Source organism: Homo sapiens, chromosome 16 (assembly GCF_000001405.40).
Source record: "Homo sapiens chromosome 16, GRCh38.p14 Primary Assembly".
Lineage (NCBI taxonomy): Eukaryota > Metazoa > Chordata > Mammalia > Primates > Hominidae > Homo > Homo sapiens.
Genome location: NC_000016.10, coordinates 12,665,886 through 12,689,189, shown reverse-complemented (window position 1 = coordinate 12,689,189; position 23,304 = coordinate 12,665,886). Strand labels below are relative to the sequence as shown.

The 23,304-nt window shown below is 43.4% G+C and overlaps 1 protein-coding gene across 2 annotated transcripts in view; it reads left to right on the top strand.

Moving 5' to 3' along the window:
• CPPED1 (calcineurin like phosphoesterase domain containing 1) overlaps positions 1-23,304 on the top strand; it is a 144,089-nt gene that overhangs the window by 114,698 nt on the left and 6,087 nt on the right. The gene's annotated exons all lie outside the window — the stretch shown is intronic.

Here is a 23,304-nt window from a genome sequence, read left to right as displayed (position 1 = left end):
TGGGCATTTAGGAAGCATAAGATGATGTCATACAAAGCATTATCTCATGTCATTAAAAACCCAGACCACAGCTCATTGTACTCTGTAGACATACCACGTTCATTTAACTCTTGTCATTGTTGGACACTGAGGTTGTTTCCACTTGTTCTTTGTCATACATAATAACATCTTGAACTTCTTCATGCATAAACAGACCCAAATCTTAACATAAAAATGCTTGTGCATTTTCATATTTGTAGAACAAATGCCTGCAATCAGTCTTGGTAAGTAAGGCCACATGTGACTGTGTGTCGTGTTTTGCTGAAGACATGTAGCATTCTGACTGGAGCTCTTGACATTGGGGTCAGGTATTTTGCTTAGTGTTATATTTGTCTTTACATCTTTTAACTTTGACAGCACATGTTCTCTGCATGTTCCCACGTGTTCCTTGGAGACAAGGGAAACACATGAGGTGGAGTAAGCATCGGCCCTGCCCTCAAGAAGCTCAGAGTCTTGGAGAAAAGTCAGGAAAGAAACCAGAGAATTACACTTAATGCAGAAGTCGTGGAGTAGGGGCTGGGCGCGATGAATCAGGCCTGTAATCCCAGTACTTTGGGAGGCCGAGGCAGCAGATCACCTGAGGTCGGAGTTCGAGACCAGCCTGGCCAACATGGCAAAACTCCATCTCTACTAAAAATACAAAAGTTAGCCAGGTGTGGTGGCGGCTGCCTGTAATCTCAGCTACTCGGGAAGCTGAGGCAGGAGAATAATCACTTCAACCCAGGAAGAGGTGGAGGTTGCAATGAGCGAAAATTTTGCCACTGCACTCCAGCCTGGGTGACAGAGCGAAACTCCATCTCAAAAAAAAAAAAAAAAAAAATCCTGGAGTAGGATTCTAGGACACTTTAGAGTTGTTTCTTATTACTTAAATTTCTCTCCCCATAAGTCACATGTGAAGATGTGCAAGTACTTTGCTTTCTACCTATTGGATAGGGGTGTGGTTCCTCTTAAGATTGTGTGAGTGTTGTGGTGTGCACCTGTAGTCCCAGCTACCCCGAAGGCTGAGGCAGGAGAACCACCTGAGCCTGGGGTGGTCGAGGCTGCAGTAAACCATGATCGCACCACTGCAGTGTAGCCTGGGAGACAGAGTAAGACCCTGTCTCAAAAAAAAAAAAAAATAGTGTGAGTTGCGTGGCACCTGCTGGCCTTGTGACTTTCATGTTAGTGACATTCCATTCCTCCTTCTTCTTCCTTCCCTCCTTCTTCCTTCATTCTTTTGTTGTTGTTATTCCTTTAATTTATAAAATGTTTACGTTATTACTGTCTTCATAAAATCACTCAGTTAAGTGCCTGCTTTTGGGGCATCTGTTCAATTAATTGAGTATAAATTTGGGGATTGACTACTCTATGCCAAGCCCAAAGAAAGCTTTTTTATGTGATTAATCCATCAATACACAGGAGTATTGTGACCTGGTGCCTCTCTTTCCTCTATTCCAGTCAGGGTTGTGGAATAACCATTTTCTTGCTTACTGCAACCTCAGCCTTCCGAGTAGCTGGGATTATAGGTGCTCGCCACCACGCCTAGCTAGTTTTTGTATTTTTAGTAGAGATGGGGTTTCACCATGTTGGCCAGGCTGGCCTCAAATTCCTGATGTCAAGTGATCTGCCCACCTCAGCCTCCCAAAGTGCTGGGATTGCAGGTGTGCCTGGCCTAGGAATAACCATTCTTAATCTTGTTGAGGTCACTGACACTATGGCCAAATCCCTGGCCAAGCCCTATCCCAAGAAGGTGCACATTGCTTAAAAGTAAAGCTAAGACCCTCTGGTGCAGTGGGGAGCAGTTAAAGGGGACTTGGGATATCATTGTAATATTTCATTTCTTTTTTTAAAAAATGTAAAGACAGATCTTACAAGATGTTAATATTTATTATCTCTGGGTGGTGGCATTACGAATGTTACATTATTCTTTTGTAGTCACCGTATCTTTTAAATTTCTCAAAACATGAAAAAATAATAATATTATAAGAAGGATGCCTGTAGTGGAGTGAGTATAGGTCAAGAGTTGGCAAACGGTTTCTGTAAAGAGCATGATTAAATAGTTTAGGTTTTGTGGGACAAGAGGCAAAATTGAGATTATGATACAAGTGCTTACATCCTAAATGCAGCCATTTATGATAGAAATGTAAGAAGCATTCTTAGCTCACAGGCCCCATCAGAAAGCGGGCAATGGGCTTTAGTTTCCAACCCCTGGTGTACGTACTGAATCAGTCACCACTGATGCTTATATTTAAGGATCATAGTTACAGAGCCATCAGTTCTTTTCAAAAAAAAAATTATGCCACTTTACATTTTCTGCACTTAAATCTCTTCAGCCACAAGTAAAAGGTCACAATCTAAATCAAAGGGAGGAAGAGATTGTCTTTGTTTTCAGTTGCCAACATTTTGGGTGTTTTAGTAACTGACACTCTGCCTCTCATGTCTGTCGTCTGGTTCTCATTTCCAAATTGCCTCCAAGTTGTCATACAGACATGGGCCAGGGTTACTAAGCCACCTTTCCCATCCCAGCATCCTCCCCTCTCTGATGAGGAATGTGCCACAGCACTCACTGCCTTTGGACCTGTGCATGCTTTGGTCCTACTGAAGGCAAGAGGGTTGGGAAAGCAATTTCACAGGAATAGAAATGATACAAGAAGTTTATTGACAAAACTGTATTCTAATGGAGTCTCACTGAATCCCACCCTGACAAAGAAACCCTCTGCGGCCTCTTGGACAGCAGGGGAACTCTGTTATTTTGTAGGAGTTTCCAAAGACCAACTTACATAGTATTTGTTCACAAATGGATTCGTGGACATGGTGGCTCATGCCTGTAGTCCCAGCTACTGGGGAAGCTGAGGGAGGAAGATCACTTGAGCCCAGGAGTTCATGACCAGCCTGGGCAACATAGCAAGACCCCATCTCAAAAAAAAAAATATATATATATATACAATTAATAAACAAGCAATCTTCAAAACAAATGGATTACTGGCCACCCCAAAAGGAGAGTGACTGTTCTAACAAGTATAGGATAGTATCAATAGCATCTGTTCCTTTGGGCTGTACAGAACAGGAAACTCCCATCACCCCAGCTCAGAGAATAAGGAAGTTCTCTGTGTGGACAGAGGGCCACGGGTGGCTCAGGCACTCGGCCTGGCTGAATGCATGAGCAGGATCTCTCTGCACACCCGCTGTGCTTCTCCCTGTCATGACCCATTCCTTAGGCTGGACTTCTCAGCTGGCTGATGCAATTCTGCACGTCACATTCATTCACATTGACAACCCCAGAGGAAGAAAGGGGGACTTTTTAAAAGAAACATAACCTTTCTCAGACACCCCCGTGGTTTCCTCCCAAATCTCCATATCCAGACCTGGGTTCCTGCCCAGACCCTGGGTGGCCGTGGTAGGAGAATTGTCACAGCTGCATCCATCCTGGTTTGGGGAATGAAGCTGGTGGCCTCCCTGAGGAGGACATTGCCCAGAACAAAATCAGGAGGAAAAGGGAGGGTGTGGATAGTGAGAGGCAACCAGCACTGTCTCCAAAGGCAAGGAAGAAAAATGTCCTTGTCCACACTATGTTTCAAACACGGTCCCAAGAAGCATCAGGTCCCCGGCATGCAGTAGACAGTGTGCCAGGGGTTTAAACGCATTACGTCTGAAACTCCTAACAGCCTCGTGAGGCTATTATTATTGCTATTATTATCATTTTATTCATTTATTTATTTTTTGAGATGAAATCTCGCTCTGTCACCCAGGCTGGAGTGCAGTGGCATGATCTCGGCTCACTGCAACCTCCGCCTCCTGGGTTCAAGCAATTCTCTTGCCTCAGCCTCCTGAGTAGCTGGGATTACAGGTGGCCACCACCACACCTGGCTAATTTTTGTATTTTTGGTAGAGATGGGGTTTCACCATGTTGGCCAGGCTGGTCTCAAACTCCTGACCTCAGGTGATCTGTCCACTCAGCCTCCCAAAGTGCTGGGATTGCAGGCGTGAGCCGCCGCACCTGGCTGAGGGATCTATTATTGTCCCCTTTTTAAAATTGAAGAAACAATGTACAGCGAGGTGCAGTCGCTTGTCATTTGACATTTAAGTAACAGACAGGATCCAGAGTCGGTGCTCGTTCCACTGTCTCCAGTTTCCACCCTGTCGTGAGTAAGGCCTCCTTCTGTAAGGAACATGGCAGTTCTTTTGTAAAATCAGGAAATACGGGAACTCTCCCTTCCCTTTGATAATATCAACGAAGGGGAGATTTGGGTTTCTCCTCCAGGATACCTACTAAAGTATAGCTTCTGAGTTGCCACAAGTTTCATTTATTCATTCACTGTGCATCCATCCATCCATCTCTCCATTCATTCATTTATCCAGCAGTCACAGAGCGGCCGCTCTCTGCTATTCATCCTGGGGATGAGTATTCAGTTAAACACACGTGGCCTCTGCCCTTAAGGAGCTCATAGACCAGTAGGGGAAACCAAGGTGGGAGCCAGAAATCAGGGCAAAAGTAAAAGAATTTGCAAGGGAGAGGATGAAGAAGAAGCAGCCCTGTGCACCTTCACCAGGGATGTTTTCCCATTGGAGGAAACGAATGAGCAGGGTCTTGAAGGATGAATAAGTGCACATCAGGCAGACCTGGGCAGAAAGAGGGCACAACATGGGCAGAGGCTGGAGCCACAAAATAGCTCGTCCTGTACTGGCACTGGCACTGGAGTTGCTCAGTGAGTGGAGTAGGCTCAAATGGAGACATTGTGTTTGATCAGGATCCTAAGGTGATGGAGAACCCTCAAATTTTACTTGACGAAGTGGCCCAAGTGGTTTTGCTTTAAAAAAGAAATTGTAGAGATGGGGTCTCATTTTGTTGCCCAGGCTGGTCCCAAACTCCTGGGCTTAGGTGATCCTCCAACCTCAGCCTCCCAAAGTGCTGGGATTACAGGCATGAGCCACTGTGCCCAGGTTTTGCATTTGAGAAAGATGGCTCTGCTCAGTTTACCGGGATGCATTTTCTCTGCGTTCCTTCCTAACAGAGCAGGTTTTGTTCAGGGCACTAGCATGGCAGGCTGAAACACTCCGTCTCCAGACCCCCATGCAGCTGTGTGTGGCTGCATGACCTAGGTTCAGGGGTTTAGCAAGTGGGGCTTCCAGAAAGGCTTTTCGTTGGCCCTTACCTCTTCTTCCGCCTTGGAACTTGGACCCAGTGCCCGGAAGCCCTGCAGCCATCTTGCGATCTTGAGGATGGAAGCTACAAACTGAGGAAGGCAAAACAGAAAGATGGAAGGAGGCTGGATCCTTATTGAAATCCTGGAGAGGCTGCGCCCTCCCTGGACTGCTCACCTCCTCTTTTTACGGGGTAGATAAATCATAGTTAAGCACAAATACAGCCTTTACTTTTTTAAGCCACCATAGCCACTGACAGCTGAATATCATACAGGAGATCAGGCAACCAGGAAGATCACACTGAGGATGGAGAGGAGATGGGGGTAAGCGTGTTCAGGCAGACAGGTCAACAGGACGCATGGACCAGGCGGAGGAAGGGAGTCTCGGGGTGACTCCCACATGCCTGGGTTGGATGACTGCATGGTGCTCCAGTTAAACCCACACGAGGAGGGGTGTGCATTGGGGCAAAAGAAGTAAGCGGGTTGAGTTTGCAGAGCTTGCAAGGATGTCCAGAAGAGAGGTCCACGAAGCCTAGGAACCGATTGTTGGCTGGGAAATGATTCTGAATTTTTGGCAGGTGGAGTTGGTTCAGGTTATAACAGAACCGGTGGTCATCAGTGAGAGGGAAAGGGACGAGAGAAGGGGAATGGACAGAGCCTGGGGAAGGCCACCATTGAAAGGGCTTGTGGAAGCCGGAGATGTATGCAGGAAGAATAAGCTGTTAACTGGAGGAGGAAGTGCCTCGAAGCCCAGGGGTAAGGAAAAGTGCACAAATTTAGTTAATGTGTGTTCTTTAAGGGATCATCGCCTGATCAGAATTTTTCTTGGCCCAGTTATTCAAACGGAATCTCACTTACCCAAGGTCCTTACGTTTTGATGGATGCAGTACCCCCTTCTTGGCTTTCCCTGGCTCAAGTCAGAGGCAGGGCACTTTCTCCCTAGCAAATTTCATCTTGAACAAATTCTGCAAAACATTTTCCTTCCGTGGCTGGCCGCCACGTCTGTCTACCTCCCTCGAGTATTTTTGGATGGATTTCCAATTTGATACACGAACATTCTGTCAGTCAAAACAATCTTTTTAATGAGCCTCTTGTCCTGACAGCTGTGTTTAAGATAGAGCATGGAAATCTAGAAAATTGTCCATTCTGGATTGAAACCTTAATGTGGGCCCCACGCTCCATTTCACACGCAAGCTGCCATCTTCTTTTAAAAATAAAGAGGAAATTATGAATAGTGAGAAAGATGTAATTTGTGCAAATGAAAAGAAAAAGATCTTCTGATCAGATACTTAGAGAAGGATGAGAGGAAAGTATAATTATTGAGTGCTGCCTGAGTACAAGACACGCAGCTTCCTGCTGTGCCACCCAGGGCGTGTCCCTGATTCTCACTTATCTTCCCAGTGGCCCTGGGGATGGTTGATACTAGTCTTGCCTTCCAAATGAGGAGTTCAGATATGTTGCTGCCCATGCCACACCTACACAGCTCAGCAACAGCAGAACTGAGGTTCACGCCTGAGTCTCCCAACCCCTAGCTCCCACCCCAGGCTGCCACTGCTTTTCTGACAACCAAATATTAGTATTAAAAAAATACAGCCCTCCTCTTGCATATTCTACAGGTTTTGAATCTGTAAGTCATCAGGAAGGGGAAAAAATAAAAAGTTGAGCATAGCCCCCCATGTAGAAAAGTAATAAAGGGGCTGGGCGCGGTGGCTCGTGTCTGTAATCTCAGCACTTTTGGGAGACCAAAGTGGGTCGATCACCTGAGTTCAGGAGTTTGAGATCAGCCTGGCCAACATCGTAAAATCCTGTCTCTACTAAAGACACAAAAATTAGCTGGGCATGGTAGCGGGAACCTGTAATCTCAGCTACTCGGGAGGCTGAGGCAGGGAGAACTGCTTGAACCCAGGATACGCAAGTTGCAGTGAGCCAAGATCGCGCCACTGCACTCCAACATAGGCGACCGAGAGAGACACTGTCTCAAAAAAGTAATAAACGGCAGTGAGTCTGGGGGTTGGAGGAGCATAACTAATCCTCGAGTCCAGGATAGGGAAGTGATGCTATGCTGTAATCACACTCTCAAGGCTGTGGACTCAAGTGGGCAGCCAGCCACCTCTAGCCCCTGGAGAGTAATTATTTCCCAATTCTGCTCTTTGCCCTGGAGTGTGAGAGCACATCCCCATGTCCTTTCTGATTCTAAGTCGGATGCAGATGCGGTGGGTGGAAGTGGGAAACGTCATTTTATGAACGGGAATGTGGGCCCCCCTCAGCTGCCTCCAGGTGTTGGTGTGATAACTGTGACCACTGAACCTCTTCCATCCACTCTTTCTCAAACCTTTTGCTGCAGAACTACTTACATCCTAATGAAGCCGAGAATGCACAGCCCTAGGTGTTTTCTAGGCCACTTCTGTGCCATCCCCATCTCCCACATTCTTAGTTTTAATTAAGAGGAGCTTTGAAAAGGGAAGAATATAATTTTTGTGAATCGTTAATCAGGTGAGGTATGAAAAGTGTAATTTACATGGTGTCTTAGTTCGTTTTGTGCTGCTATAACAGAATACCTGAGCCTGGGTAATTTATAAAGAACAGAGATTGATTTTTTACAGTTCTGGGGGTTGGGAAGTCCAAGGTCAAGGGGCTGTATCTGGTGAGGGCCTTCTTGTTGGGGCATCCCTGGCAAGAGTGAGGAGGAAAGGGGCCTGGCCAAATTCATCCTTGTTTTAAAATCAGGAAGCCACTTCTCTGATAACAGCATTAATGCATTCTTGAGGGCAGAGCCCCCGTGACCTAATCATCTCTTAAAGGTCCATCTCCCAACGCTGTTACCCTGGGGATTAAGTTTATAACACTTAAACGTTGGGGGGCACATTGAAATAATAACGCATGGCTATTCTTTACGGGGGGAAACGGGGGTCGGGGGAGGAATCCTTAAAGCAAAGAAATCTCTTCAGGTTTTAGAGTATGAGCTGGCTTTAGGTAAAGGTCATTTTGACAACTGGGCCATTGCTTCCTACCCAAGCAAAACATTAAAAAGAAAGAAAGAGGAAGAGAATCTCAAGAGGAGGCTATGAATCCTAAGATAAACCAGATGCTTTATATCACATGGACCAGACATGTGAACAAATGCCTGAAATGACCAAGTGTATAGGTGTTAATGTCACATGCATCAGAGGAGATGAGGCTTGAACCCAGGTTTCCAGCAGGGTTCAGCCCAGGAGCACGTGGACCCATCACAGTGAAACCTTTGAGAGGCTTAGCTCCAGAAGGAGATATTGCCCCTACAGCCCACCCCAGGTCTCACAGGGGCAGAGCTGCTTGGCTTAGGCACTCCGTAACCTGAGAGTGTCTCTCTTCTCATGCTGATGATACAGCAAGCAGGAGTAGTTGGGCTTCTCCCCCAAGACCCAGATCAGAGGGGCTGTGCAGACAAGACTCCTTCTTCCCTGGGGGCTGTCTCTGCCCCCTGAATCTGGATGCTCTCTGAGAAGCTGTAGTAACTATGTGTGTCCCCATGCATGTGAGTAGTCCTTAGAGGGCTGAAAGGCTCTGAACTCTCCTGACCTCCCAGTTTACAGTATTTTTATTATTAAGATACAGATTGATCATCCGGCAACCTAGATTTTACATAGCAGTGTGGGGGCAGAGGGAAAGCTTTTGTTCCACCTTCTGAAGGTTCACTGTCGAAATGAACTGACAATAAACAGGTGAACAGGAAAAAATGCATACAGATTTATTAATGTGCTGAACTTGAGAGCCATACAATATATAAGACTCGGGGCAAATGGTTGAAGCTTATATACCCTATTCATAGGGGAGAGGGAGATGGGAGAAATGCAGGCAATTTTGAGCAGTCATAAATGATTTTTAGGGGAATTGAATGGGCCTAGGAAGCAGACATTACCTTCTAAATGATTTTTTTAGGAAACTGAATGGGACCAGTAAGTTATGGGAAGGTAAGAGGCAGAACTGCATTGTGAACAAAGGTTGTCTTATTATGTAGATAAAGTCTCCCAGGTAATCTCTTGGAGCTACTCTCAGAAGAATGGAAGAAAAGTCTGTCTGGGCATGGTGATGACTTTTAGTCTCTTCTCTTTTCCATTGGCTAATCTTTCTCGGTTATTTGATGAGATTCCTAGGGAGGGATTCTTAAGATAATTGCATTTCTTTTAGAAAGACATCTCCTTAGTCAGATAAGGAAATTCCAGAGACAGTCTGTCACTGCTCTTGGGGAGGGAAGGTCAGAGAGACCTTGAGGCTGCTGCTTTAGTTTAGCGTGTCAAAGTGCCATGTTTTGGGGTACCATTTCTGAGCCCCAACATCAGAAATACAGTTTTCAGGATGTTAGTGAGTAGCTCTAAAATAGGGCAGCATATCCTGAATGGAATAAGTAAAAGATACATTGTCGAATATATAAAAGCAAGTTGCAAATCTGTATGTAGCCTATTCCATTTTTGTGAAATTTTGTGTATGTATATATGTTTCTTTAGATCTATATCTAACATATATAGTAGTATACACATTTAAATTATCTGGAAAATACACACTAAACTCCTAAAACAGGAATAGGGATTTCAAGAAATTTCCCTCCTCCCACTTTCTTTTGTTTGATATTCTGTATTTTTACAACATTTGGGTTTAATTTAACAAGTATGCATTGTTTTTGTTTTTGTTTTTGTTTTACATTTTATTTGGAAATATTTTCAAGCTTACAGAAAAGATGCAAGAAAAGGAATAGTAAAAAGAATATCCACCTACTCTTTACACACACGTCCAACCATAGTAAGTCCGTGAACCTGCTTTGTTCAGAGGAAGATGAAAGGGATTATCCAGCATGAAAAACGAATGGGGAGGATAGCAGTTACTCAGAAGTTCTGGATAAACAAATATTTACTTTAGGTCCTCCTGAGGAGTTTCCCTTTTAATCTTTGCAAGGCTTTTGTGAGATCACCAAAGAATGAGCTTTCACTGATCAAACTCTCAAATCCTTGTTGGGTATTTAAATTGATTATGTTTTTCTGAAGAATAATTTAGCAGTCATATCAAAAGTCTAAAAAATAGGAATATGAAAACTAAATTTATAACCAACAAGAAAAAGAGTATTTTCACCAATACTTTTTAACATTGTATTGGAGATCCTAACTATTGCAAAAAGCAAGAGAAAGAAATAAGAAACATAAAGATAGGAAGTAAAATGGCCTATTTGCAGATGATACGATTTTTTTTAACTTAGAAAATCCCAGGAATCTACAAAATAATTACTAGAATGAATAAATGAATTTAGCAAGGTCTCAGGATACAAGGTTAATAGACAAAAATAATTGTATTTTTATATACTATCAGCAAGCAATTGTTAAGTGAAATTACAAAAATAATTCAATTTACAATAGCACCATAAAACATGAAATACCTAGGAATAGCAAAGGATGTCCAAGACCTCTACCTTTACAAAACATTGCTGAAAGTAATTTTAAAAGACCTGAGTAAATGGAAAAGTAGACCATGTTCATGGATTGCAGGGCCAATGTTAATACGGCATTTCCCCCCCGATTGAGCGACAGATTCAACAAAATCCCAATCAAAATTATAGCAGTTTTATTATTTGTAGAAATCAGCATACTGATTGTAAAATTTCCGTGGAAATGCAAGGTACCTATAATGGCCAAAACAGTTGAATTAGATCTGAGTTACTTTTTTAGATGGAAGGATGTGGACACTTTTAAAGTAGATATAGAAGTCTCTTTCTGACCGTCAGGACAGATGCTCTTACTTATAGAATAGTTGACCTTTTTTGTGTTCACTAACACAATTCACTTGCCTCCCTTATTTGAAATGGCATTCATGGTTTTATAAATGAAACTACAAATTACTCTTTCCTTTGTTGTCACTGTTTTTTGATTTTTATTTTTGAGAAGCACAGAAACTTTCAGACTTTTGAAGAATCAAGAACTCTTGGCTGAACTTTACCCAAGTGTATTCTTTTTAATGGTATGCTTTATTAGTGAGGGTGGCCTTCCTCCTATTTTTGTAAATAAAGTTTTATTGGATCACAGCCATGCCCACAAGCTTATATACTTTCTATGGCTGTTTTCACGCTACAAAGGAAGGCGGAGTTGAGTAGTCGTGACAGAGACCACATGGCCCACAAAGGCGAAAATATTTACTGTCCAGACCTTTCTGGAAAATGTTTGCTGACCCAGGTCAATTAAGTTCCAAGTGATCCTCAAAAGAAGTTCCATGAAAATGTCTTTAAGATGCCATGCTAGTTAACAGGATTTGGGGATGAGAGGGTTTGAATCAATGAAAGGCTGAAGCCGGAAGTGATGGGATGCTTTGATGCTTACCACAAGAAGGAAGACACATACACGACCGTGGCACTTCCTTTTTTCTTTTTTTGAGACAGAGTCTCGCTCTGCCACCAAACTGGAGTGCAGTGGCACGAGCTCAGCTCACTGCAGCCTCTGCCTCCCAGGTTCAAGTGATTCTCGTGCCTCAGCCTCCCAAGTAGCTGGGATTACTGACGCCCACCACCACATCCACATCCACATTTCTGTATTTTTAGTAGAGACAGGGTTTTGCCATGTTGGCCAGGCTGGTCTCAAACTCCTAGCCTCAAGTGATCTGCACGCCTCGGCCTCCCAAAGTGCTGGGATTACAGGCATAAGCCACCGCGCCCAGCCAACCTTGGAATTTTTTGTAAGTCATTCCATTTCAGCCAGTCTATAGCCCCATGCAGCCCTCTGGCCCCGCCTTTCCCCGCCCTCGCCTATCCTCTAGCCAAGCCAGAATCTGAACTGGAATTCTGGTACCACCCACCAGCTGACCTTCAGTCGTGTCCTCTGGGAAATGTGCAGGAGTTTCTTGATGTTGGGTGTCAGAAGGATTAAAAATGCTGAAGAGGAAATTCGGATGCCCAGCAGGTGCCAGTCTGCAGGAGCCTTTACGTTTGGTGCCTGCTGCTTCCTAGACACACTTGACTCTCTTCACTCGCTCGTGATATTCCCCTCACCTGATGTGTCTTTACCTCTACTTGGCAGGTGTTTTAGTGCTGACTCTGGGGACAGACTCCTGGGTTCAGATCCTGCTTCAACACTTACAGGCTGAGTTAGGCAAACTACTGAACATCTCTAAATCGTATAATAAAATCACAGGTAATAACCATGCCTCCTTCATGGAGGAATTGTGGGAATTAAATGAGCTAAAAACAAGTGAAGTGCCTAGAACAATGTCTAGACAGATAATGAACACTCCATAAATATTATTATCATCATTATTATTATTACCACCATAATATGATGCCCCCTCAGGCCTCAGGTCAGACATGAGCAGAGAACTAGGAGAAATTAAGGATGTGTTTAGGTCAGAGCCACCCCCTCCAGGAAGCCTTCTTACAGGGCCTATGGCACGGTGATCTTTGGCACTTTGCACCTCTCAGATGGTGGACAGAGCCTGTGCTTCTGAATTGGCCTTATCCAAGTATACATCTTAGCTATGTGAATCCAGGCAAGTCACTTAACCTGTCCTCGCCTCATTCCCTCATCTGCAAAAGGGGATGATATCTTCCTGGTCAGCGTCCTCATTAGGCTTGAGTGAGATGATGCAGGTGCAAAATGCAGGTCGTAGATGTCCAGCGAATAAAACGCTGCTGAGTGATGTCGATTTCTGCATTTTGTTATGAGTAGCTCTTTCTCTGACTGCCTGGCTATAGACCTTGAGTTGTTGATTGCTGGGAATGGTTGATCCCACCACACTCCTTAATACCTGGCACCAAGAGGGAGCTCAACAGATGTTTATTGTCTCAAGCTAACTGAAGAAGCAGCCTCCCACCTTACCCGGATCCCTTCCACCATGTCCCCTGGCAGTCCTGGGCCACAGGCATTGGGTCACTGGGGAAGATATATACCAGGGAAATTCTGATGAGAGTGAGCAAATATGCTGGAATCTAGAATTCCCCAATTGACGACGAAAAGTGAAGAACCTCTTCCTGAATGAGTCAGGTGGGGCTTAACCATGACTTCATATTCAATCTGCACCTCCCAAACCCACTTAAGAAACATCTGTCGCTTCCCCTTTGCCCCCTGGCCAGAATCTCTTATCTCAAAGCCTGCTAAGGAAATTCTTTACCGGCAGGAGGGATTATTTATACCTACTTTCTGTACATTCACACCCAACCTTTTTTAACTTTCCATTTCTCTCCCTCTTTTTTATTTGTGTCACATTTTTCCCTACCACTGAGGCAGAATAAATTCAGTGTGAGTGATGGTTTGCAATGCAGTTTTCACTGTTATAGCTGGCAACGTAAAGCTGGATCACATTTTCACAAATATAGTCTCATGCAGGATAAAAGTAAAGGCTGTCCAGTTGGAATGTGTTTACACTTTCCAGGTCTAAGCCCCAACACCAAGGCATTAAAGAAGGCCAGTGTTTAGTATCAGAATTGTACTGGGTTGCATCTCAATTTCCTGATTGATTTGAAGCAGGTTTCCAATGTTAGAATATTACATTATACAGTGACTGTGTCCCAATCCTCTGATTGATTTGAAATGAACTTGAATCAAGATAGCTTAAAAATAGCTTTTATAGCGTCTTCATGACTTGATACCGTGGAGAAAAAAAACATATGAAGCTAATGCCACAGAAATCATCCTCTGTTGATGCAGTGGCTGCCTTTGCTGGAAATTCTTCTGGCAGTAATTTAAAAAGATGCCTGTCATCTCCTTACAGCAGTTCATAATTCAAAAACAATCTATACATAATACTCAATTAAGGAACCATAGAGGCATGTCAGCCACAGATGACTGATGCCCAGGCTGAGTGGAAATTCTGCCCAGCTCTTGAAAACATCACTAAAATCAATACCCCGTCAGGGAAACCAAGATTTATTAATACATTCCTTACCTCCATCGAGTTGTGAATCAGTGCTTCCCTATCAAAAGCTAATAGAAAGCTGAGATGGGTAAAACTTCTTATAGGTCCTTGTGGCCTGTCGGCATGAAAGGGACAGGATTATAACTCGGAGAGAGGCTGCGTGTTGCAGAGCTGGACTGCCATGCTGTGTGCCCCCCTCCAGCAGTGAGAAGCTGGCCCTGCCCTGGAGAAAGCCTCCTGGGTGGGGCGATGAGGAGCTTGGTACTGACACCCATGCTCCCCCCCAGACCTCTGCCACCCATGATATGGGCTGTCATTTTAATTCATGGTACAAAAGAGGAAATGCCAACTCACAGAGGTCAGTAATGGGTCCAAGGTCCCAAAGCAGAATGGGCTCTGATGTCTGAGTACCCTGAGTTCTGATCCTGGATGCCCTGTTGTCTAGCTGTGTGGCTTTGTGTTTGTTTCTTAACTTCTCTGGGCCTCAGTTTTCTCATCTGTAAAATGGAGACGATGTGAGTCCCTAGGACAGAGGTGCATTGGGAGGATTCAGTAAAACAGGATGAAGGATACAGAGTGCCCCGCCACTGTGCCACCCCCTTCCAGGCCCCGCCTCCTTTCACTCCACCTGGAGCGGTTGCCCTTACTGGAGGTGGAACTAGGAGAAATATTTCGGGTTCAGAACTTCCGGGCCTCCCTGGAGCTGAGAAATAGACTCAGAAACCCCCACGTCTGGAAACTCACCAGGCTTCTTCTGGACCTGGCTCCAACCCAAGAAGTGTTTCCCCCATTTTCCAGCTCAACATCTCATTCCTCGTTTCAGACTCCTTGAGCCAGCCAGGAACATGCCAGAGCCTTGAACTCAGCATCAGAACCCAGGAGGACGGAGTTAGTCACATCTTCCTGCTTCTGAGACAGACTTTCGTCCCCTGCCTGACCGTCTCTTTGTAAACTCATCACATAGTCATTGCTTCATTTTTTTCATGCAGGACCTCAGAAGGCCAAGTTCCTCATTGGAATTGGGGGAGGACTCTCTTTTACCAGAAGGAGAAGGTTTTGAACACAACTGCTTTGCTCACTAGTAGTTTCTCTCATCGTTATTTTTTATTATTATTATTTTGAGACAGGGTCTTGCTCTGTTGCCCAAGCTGGAGTGCAGTGGTGCAACCATAGCCCACTGCAACCTCCAACTCCTGAGCTCAAGCAATCCTCCCTTCTCAGCCTCCCGAGTAGCTGGAACTACAGGCATGCACCTCCATGCCTGGCTGATTTGATAAATTTTTTTGTAGAGACAGGGTCTTATGATGTTGCCGAGGCTGGTCTCCAACTCCTGGCCCCAAGCGATCCTCTAACCTCGGCCTCCCAAAATGCTGGGATTACAAGTGGGAGCCACCGCACCCGGCCTCATCTTTATTGCTAGTCCTCTTGCAGCATCTTTGCTACTCTTAAGAATCCTCGTTTGGTCACATTTTCTGTGACTTCGGACGTTAACAATAATTGGTGAGCCCTGAGGGGCAGATGGAGAGGACATGCATATTACAGAGAGGAACAGCTGTCCACGGGTCTGGGGAGACCCGCTCTGAGAGGTCCTCTGGGCACTTGAACAATCACCATTAAATGCTCCCCTCTCTGTTAATGCCACTCAATATGGTGTGAAACTTAAACATAAATGAGTTTTTACAGCTAATTATGGCTAATGCAAGCTTCTTTCAAAATTGCCAGACATTCTTTCCAGAATAGTACAGTTTGCAACTATGAGTTAGGCATGAAGAGCCAAATCTCATAAACATAATTTAGCATGCAAAGAAATAATAATGCTAAGTGCTTTCTGTCCAGCCGTTCAGCGTTCCCCCAGGCAGGGCTGATCTTACGCGGTCCCATTTGAGCTACAGACTGGCTGTGAAACCCCAGGAGAGCCACAGAGGAGGCAGTCATTTCCACCGCCCCTGCAGTCTGTACGATTGGAGCCTTTCAGTTGTCTATTTATGGCAAGGACCCATCAGGCGCCCAACCCAGCAGTCCCAGCTGCAACCTGAGAACTGCACAGTTTGTGCCCTGGAGTGGCAGTGGCTGCATCTGTCACGCCACCCTGCCCTGTTCATGTTGCCCTAATGTTTCTTTTTCTTTTTTTTTCTCTTTTCTTTTTTCTTTTCTTTTGAGACAGGGTCTTGCTCTCACCCAGGCTGGAGTGCAGTGGCACAATCTCAGCTCACTGCAACCTCCGCCTCCCGAGTTCAAGCGATTCTTATGCCTCAGCCTCCCAAGTAGCTAGGATTACAGGCGCCTGCCACCACGCCTGGCTAGTTTTTGTATTTTTAGTAGAGATGGGGTTTTGCCATCTTGGCCAGGCTGTTCTCGAACTCCTGACCTCAACTGATCTGCCCACCTCGGCCTCCAAAAGTGCTGGGATTTCATTCCCAATCACCCGATTAATTCGTGATCATTGGAAGCATTACACTACTGTAATAAGAGAGAATGATGTGCCTCTCACTAATCCCACCCCACACCCCTCACCTGGAGCCACCACTATAAGCAGTTTAATGTCTATGCACACATACCCTCTGAGGTATACATATACACAAATAGGCACACGAGCCTGTATATGCACACAAACCTTCTAAGGCATACGTTATTTTACACAGGATCACACGATGTTTTTGCAGCAGTGTGCTATACATATTAATGGTATTTGGCACCTTTTGGTGCCAGTACATGTAAATTACCTCTTTTTAAAAAATGCGCATAATGTCATTTAACAGGTCTTCCATAAATAAACATTACTAACGGTACTGTGATGCACATTGAACCATATATTAATGTCCACAGGTACAGCCCGGATACATCTTTGGGCTTTTCCCTGGGGATTTCTGAAGGATAACTGTCTACCAAAATGGTTTTTTTGGGCCAAGGGAATGTACAGTAAAATGTGCGACAGTATTGCTAGATTGCCCCCTTAACATGAGTTCTTTCTGTTCAAATTCTAATAAGAAGTCAATGGAATTGCAGTCATGCATTGTTACACAATTTTGTAGTGTTGCAGACATCACAGTGTCCTTACACAAACCTAGATGGTGTAGTCTACTGCACACCTAGGCTGTGTGCTATAGCCCATGGCTCCTAGACTGCAAACCATGCAGCATGGTACTGTACTGGATACTGCAGGCAACCATAACACAATGGTAAGGATTTGTATATCTAGACCTAGGGAAGGTACAGTGAAAATACAGCATTATAATCTTACGGGACCCCCTTCATATATGGCGTCCATCACTGACTAAAACGTCCATGGTAGGGATTTGTGTATCTAGACATAGAGAAGGTACAGTGAAAATACAGCATTATAATCTTATGGGACCACCTTCATATATGGCGTCCATCATTGACTAAAACGTCCATGGTAGGGATTTGTGTATCTAGACATAGAGAAGGTACAGTGAAAATACAGCATTATAATCTTATGGGACCACCTTCATATATGGCGTTCATCATTGACCAAAATGTCCATGTGCTGCACGTGACTGTAGCTGTTTCTCTCCACCTGTGGCTGTCTTAAGTAGGGAAGGCTGAGTACTTTATGCACCTGAGCTGATCCACACCTGCCCACAGGTGAATCTCCAGTTCCTGCCAGCACAGGTAGCTATAGTCCCAAGAGCTCTCTTTACAGCCTCCCAGAACCCCACTCACCAGAAGCAGAGGCTATCAGCATATTCCCTTCATGCCCTTTTTTTTTCTCTCCCCTTGCTCTCTTGTCTCCTCATTTTCTTTCCCTTACCCCTCTTTACCACCATTCTCAATCTCTGTTTCCTTCCTGTTCCCCAGTGTGGAACTAGTAAAAATCATTCAGATCCTGGAACAGAAAAAGGACATTAGGAAAAAACTAAGGGAATCTAATCATGGGCTTTAATTAATCTTAATATGTCAATATTGGTTCATTAATTGTAACAAATGTATTATTCTGATATAATATGTTAATGAATGGGGAAAATGGTACAGGGGATAAGTATACTTTTAAAAATACAGCCAGACGCGATGGCTCACACCTGTAATCCCAGCACTTCGGGAGGCCAAGGCAGGTGGATCACTTGAGGTCAAGAGTTTGAGACCAGCCTGGCCAACATGGTGAAACCCAATCTCTACTAAAAATACAAAAGTGAGCTGGGCATGGTGGCAGGCACCTGTAATCCCAGCTACTCAGGAGGCTGAGGCAGGAGAATCACTTGAACCCGGGAGGCGGAGTTTGCAGTGAGCCGAGATCGCACCACTGTACTTCAGCATGGGCGTCACAGTGAGACTCCACCTCAAAAAATATATTAAAAATAAATAAATAATTAAAAAAATAAAAACACATGGATCATTTACATTTAGTCATCGTATGTGCTTCGGTTCCTCTTGGCTGTGATAGTTTCTCACTCATTCCTTGTTTTTGATGACAGTTTTGAGGAGTGCTGGTCAGGTATTTGATACAATGTGTCTCTCTTGGGAATGTGTCTGATGTTTTTCTCTGGATTAGACTGGGGTGATGGATTTGGGAGAGGAAGACCACAGAGGTGAAGTGCCATTTCTATCACATTCATATCAAGAGCACATACTAATCATGTGACTTATCGCTTTTGGTGTTTGTCCAGTTTCTTCACTGTAAATACATTCTTTTTTTTTTTAACCTTCTCTTTAAACTATACTCTTTGAACAGAAGTCAGGATGCACAGCCCACACCTAAGGGATGAAGAAAGATGCACTACTTCCTAGAGGGTGGGGTGTCTGTGTCATTTATTTGTTACTCTTCTGTGTGTAGGAGATGTTTCTCCCCCTACCATTTATTTATTTATTCAGTAGTTTATTATTATGGTCTTGCAAAGTTTTTATTTGTTTGTTTTTAGAGACAAGGTCTCTCTGTCACCCAAACTGGAATGCAATGGTGCGGTCATAGCTCACTGTAGCTTCAAACTTCCAGGCTCAAGCAATCCTCCCACCTCAGCCTCCTGAGATCTAGGACCACAGGCATGAGCCACCACACCTGCTAATTTTGTAATGTTTTGTAGAGACGGGATCTCACTGTGTTGCCCAGGCTGGTCGAACTCCTGGCCTCAAGCGATCCTCTCACCTTGGCCTCCCAAAGTGCTGGGATTGCAGGCATGAGTCAATGTGCCTGGCCGCCTCGTGGATTTTTTTATACTGTGGGTTGTAATTCAACACTAGTTTATTTCACTACTCAGATTGTTAAGCTTTGGCCATTGGGAATCCTGTCACTTGATTCCTGAGTCCATTTGCCATACCCCATCGTTGCAGGGTTTTTGTTTCTGAGCACCACTATCCTTTCTGGCAACACAAGATGTTCCAGGTTCATCTTCTGTATTTCTTGCTCAATGCTATGGTAGCCATTTCTCCAAGGAGCCATAGTTCCTTTTATTAGAGAATCCTTACTAGGAAGCCAGATCTGAGTGCTAGGTGCTCTCATTGCTAGTACATACTTCTAGGGGCTCTCAGCTGACAGAGCAAGGAAACGAATGTCTATGTACTGGCCTATGTATATACACATCTATAAATATTTCTATGTGAAACCACAGCAATATTAAGCTAAACATGAATTACCACTGATATCTCCAACTCTAATCCGTTGTTGTGATATGGATCATTTTAGCTTCCTCCTCTTCCTGTAAATTTTTTGCATTTTTATTGAGCTATAATTCACATACCATAAAATGCACTCTTTTGAAGTATCAAATTTAGTCGTTTTAATATATTCACAAGGTTGTGCAAGTATCACCGTGATCTAATTGCAGACCATTTTTACCATTCCACAAAGAAACCCTGCACCTGTCAGCAGTCACTCTCCCGTTCCACCCTTCCCTCAGCCCCTAGCAACCACTGATCTACTTTCTCTATGGATTTAGCTATTCTGGACATTTTATATAAATGGAAGCATACAAGATGGGGCCTTTTGCAAGTGGCTTATCTCACTTAGCTTAATATTTTTAAGGTGCATCTACATTGCAGCTTGTATCAACACTTTATTCCTTTTCGTGGTTGAATAACATCCCATTGTATGGGTAGACCACATTTTGTTTATCCATCATCAACTGATGGACATTTAGGTTGCTTCCGTATTTTAGGCTCTTTTGAAAAATGCTGCTAGGAACACTCACCTACAAGTTTTTGCATGGGCAAATGTTTTCATTTCTCCTAGATACATACTTAGGAGTGAAATATCACAATTATGGTAAATACGTGTTTAACATTTGAGGAATTGCCAAAATGTTTTCCAAAAGAACTGTACCATTTTACTTTCCCACCAGCACTGTATGAAGGTTCTAATTTCTCCAAATCCCTGTAAACACTTGTTGCTTTCCATCTCTTTCATCACAGCCATCCGAGTGGCTATGAAGTGGTTATCTCATTGTCGCTAATCGCATTTCCCTAAAGATAAATGATGTTGAGCATCTTTTCATGTAATTATCGGCCATTTGTGTATCTCCTTTGAAGAAATGTCTGTTAAAATCCTTTCCCGCTTGTTAATTGGGTTGTCTTTTGGTTGAGTTGTAAAAGCTCTTTATGTTTTCTGGGTATTAGACCCTTATTAGATACATGATTTGCAAATATTTTTGCCCATTCCATGGGTTGTCTTTTCACTTTTTATAATGTTTTGGGAGCACAAAAGTTGGTAATTTTGATGAAGTTTAGTTTGACTGCTATGCCCAAACATTTTAAAGAAATAAGGTAACTATACATTTTTTTCTTGCAAAGTATCAGGTTATTCCGTATTTTTATCTCCCTTCCAAACATGGCAATAACTTATATATGCTTTAAGTTTCCACCAAACTCCTTATCTTGACATTTTTGATGTTTAGTTTCACTTTTAACATTAAAAAATAGGTTTAAAAAAATCAATAGTTAATTCAGTTTACCAAAATATTGGCGTTTGGTCATCATTATTTTTTAATATTTCATCCTTTCTTTTGCTGAAGCAATTCATTCAGTGAAGATTTAGACGTGGTAAACTTTTAGTTTTTATGTTCCAAACATGTCTTTTTTTTGCCCTCAAACTTAAATGATAGTTTAGCTAGGAATAAAATTTGAGGTTCATAGTTATTTGCTGTCAGCATTTAGAAGGCATTACTCTTTGATTCTGTTATTGTTAAGATTCCTGCTATCTGTGTGATTATCATTTCTTTATAATGTTTTTACTGCGGTTCTTTCTATGGTTTTTCTCTTTGTCTTTGCTGTACCACAATTTTATTGCACCATATGTCAGTAGGAATTAACTGTCATGTTTCCTGTGTAGTACTTTTTATCTGAGGACCTGTGTCTTCCTTCTTTCTGGAAAATTTCTGTTATTTCTTCAAATTCTTCTCACTATTATTTTCTCCTTTCTCCTCCACCAGCTCCTCTAAACTTCTGCTGATCTTAATCTATCCTTTGAATTTTTGAATTCAGAGAACTCAAATCAAGAGCATGTTCCTATTGCTTGTGTCTGGGTCTCTGTATTGTCTTCTGGATCATTTCCTCAGTTTTACCTCTCAGTTCACTAATTTCCTCTTTGATTGATGTCTAGAATTGATCTCATTTATTTTACTATTTTTTATAGAGATGGGGTCTTGCTACATTGCCCAGGCTGATCTCATACTCCTGGCATCAAGCAATTCTTGCACCTCAGCCTCTCAAAGTACAGGGATTACAGGCATGAGCCACCATGCCTGGCCTATCTCATTTATTGAGGGTTGTTTTTATTTTAAATTTTAATGGATGTTTTGTGTCCACCATCTCTAAATGTTCATTACCTCCTGTTCTCATTCAATTTATGCCTATGTTGTTTCATAACATCTTTTTATGGGTGTTAGTCCTTTATTAAGGACCCTTTGATATCTTAAACACATTGATTTGAAATATTTGTCAGACAATCTTAAATAATTAATTTCATCTGGAGTGAATTTGTGTTCCCAATTGAAGGGTTTGTAGACTATTTTACCACGTGATTTCTCCATGGGCAGCAGAATTTTTCATTTCAGGGTCAATGTGAGTAAGGGGTGTTTTTTTTGTTTTTTGTTTTTCCCTCATTCTTTCTCTCTTGACTAACTTCTCTCTCTCTAGTGGTTTTCATTACCTCCACCCCCACCCCCGTTCAGGACCAGGCCTTATAATAGTGGTTTAGGGCCCCATGGTAATATCGGGGAAGTCATTTCAGTTCCTAGACTTGAACCTGTGTCTCTCCTTCCTTCCTAGACTCTCAGGTTGCAGTAAGCCTTAGCCTAGTGGTGTACTGGTGACAGCTCCTACTAACTCATTAGGACCAATCATTACATTTTAAGGAATGTTGTGAGCTGGTTGTTAAGTGGCCATTATTAATAATTATATAAACTCAGTATTAAATAGATTATATTAAAAAGCAAAGGTAATAAATACTCAAAACTGATCACTTTGTAATTCTTTTGCTAAATATTGCTGTCATCCATGCTCTTGAGGCTGTTGGCAGCTCTTGTATCTCTATGGTAGAAACAGATCTGATGTATATGTAATGGGCACTACTGGGCATCTCTTCTACATCTGGTTCAGTGACATCACCTTGGCAACTTGAAATCAGCCACGGCCACAGTGGAAGTATTTACACCATGGAAATTGACAAATGTGACAAATCAGGTCTTTAAAAAAAATAATAACATGTGAAACATTTACCAGCCTACCACTTCCCCAGCCCCAGGCAGCAGCAGCGTTCTTCAGCCTCCTTCCGTAAACGGAGGCACCCACAACAGCCCTTCTTCCAGCAGGGAGCCAGGCTTTATTTTCCCCATTTTCCCCTGAAAATGCTTTCAGTCTCTATGATCTTCTAAGAGCTGAACTCCCGGTGACATTTTACTCCCACTCATGACTTTGCCTCTCTGTTTTGTGTCTGGCCTGTAGAGCTATTTGTTTTGTTTTTGAGCCTACCTGTGACCTTGGGTTTTCTGTTTTACGTTTCATCCACTACGGCTGTTTGGAGCAGAGGGGGTTGATCATATGTCAGACATGCTCTGCTACCTTAATTAGAATGCCATAAACATTATTTTTATTTATTTATTTTGAGATGGAGTCTTGCTCTTGTCGCCCAGGCTGGAGTGCGGTGGCACGATGTAGGCTCACTGCAACCTCTGCCTCTTGGGTTCAAGCGATAACCTGCCTCAGCCTCCCGAGTAGCTGGGATTACAGATGCCCGCCACCAGGCCCTCCTAATTTTTTTATATTTATTTATTTGTTGGTTTATGTGTTTATTTTTGAGACAGAGTCTCGCTCTGTTGCCTAGGCTAGAGTGCAG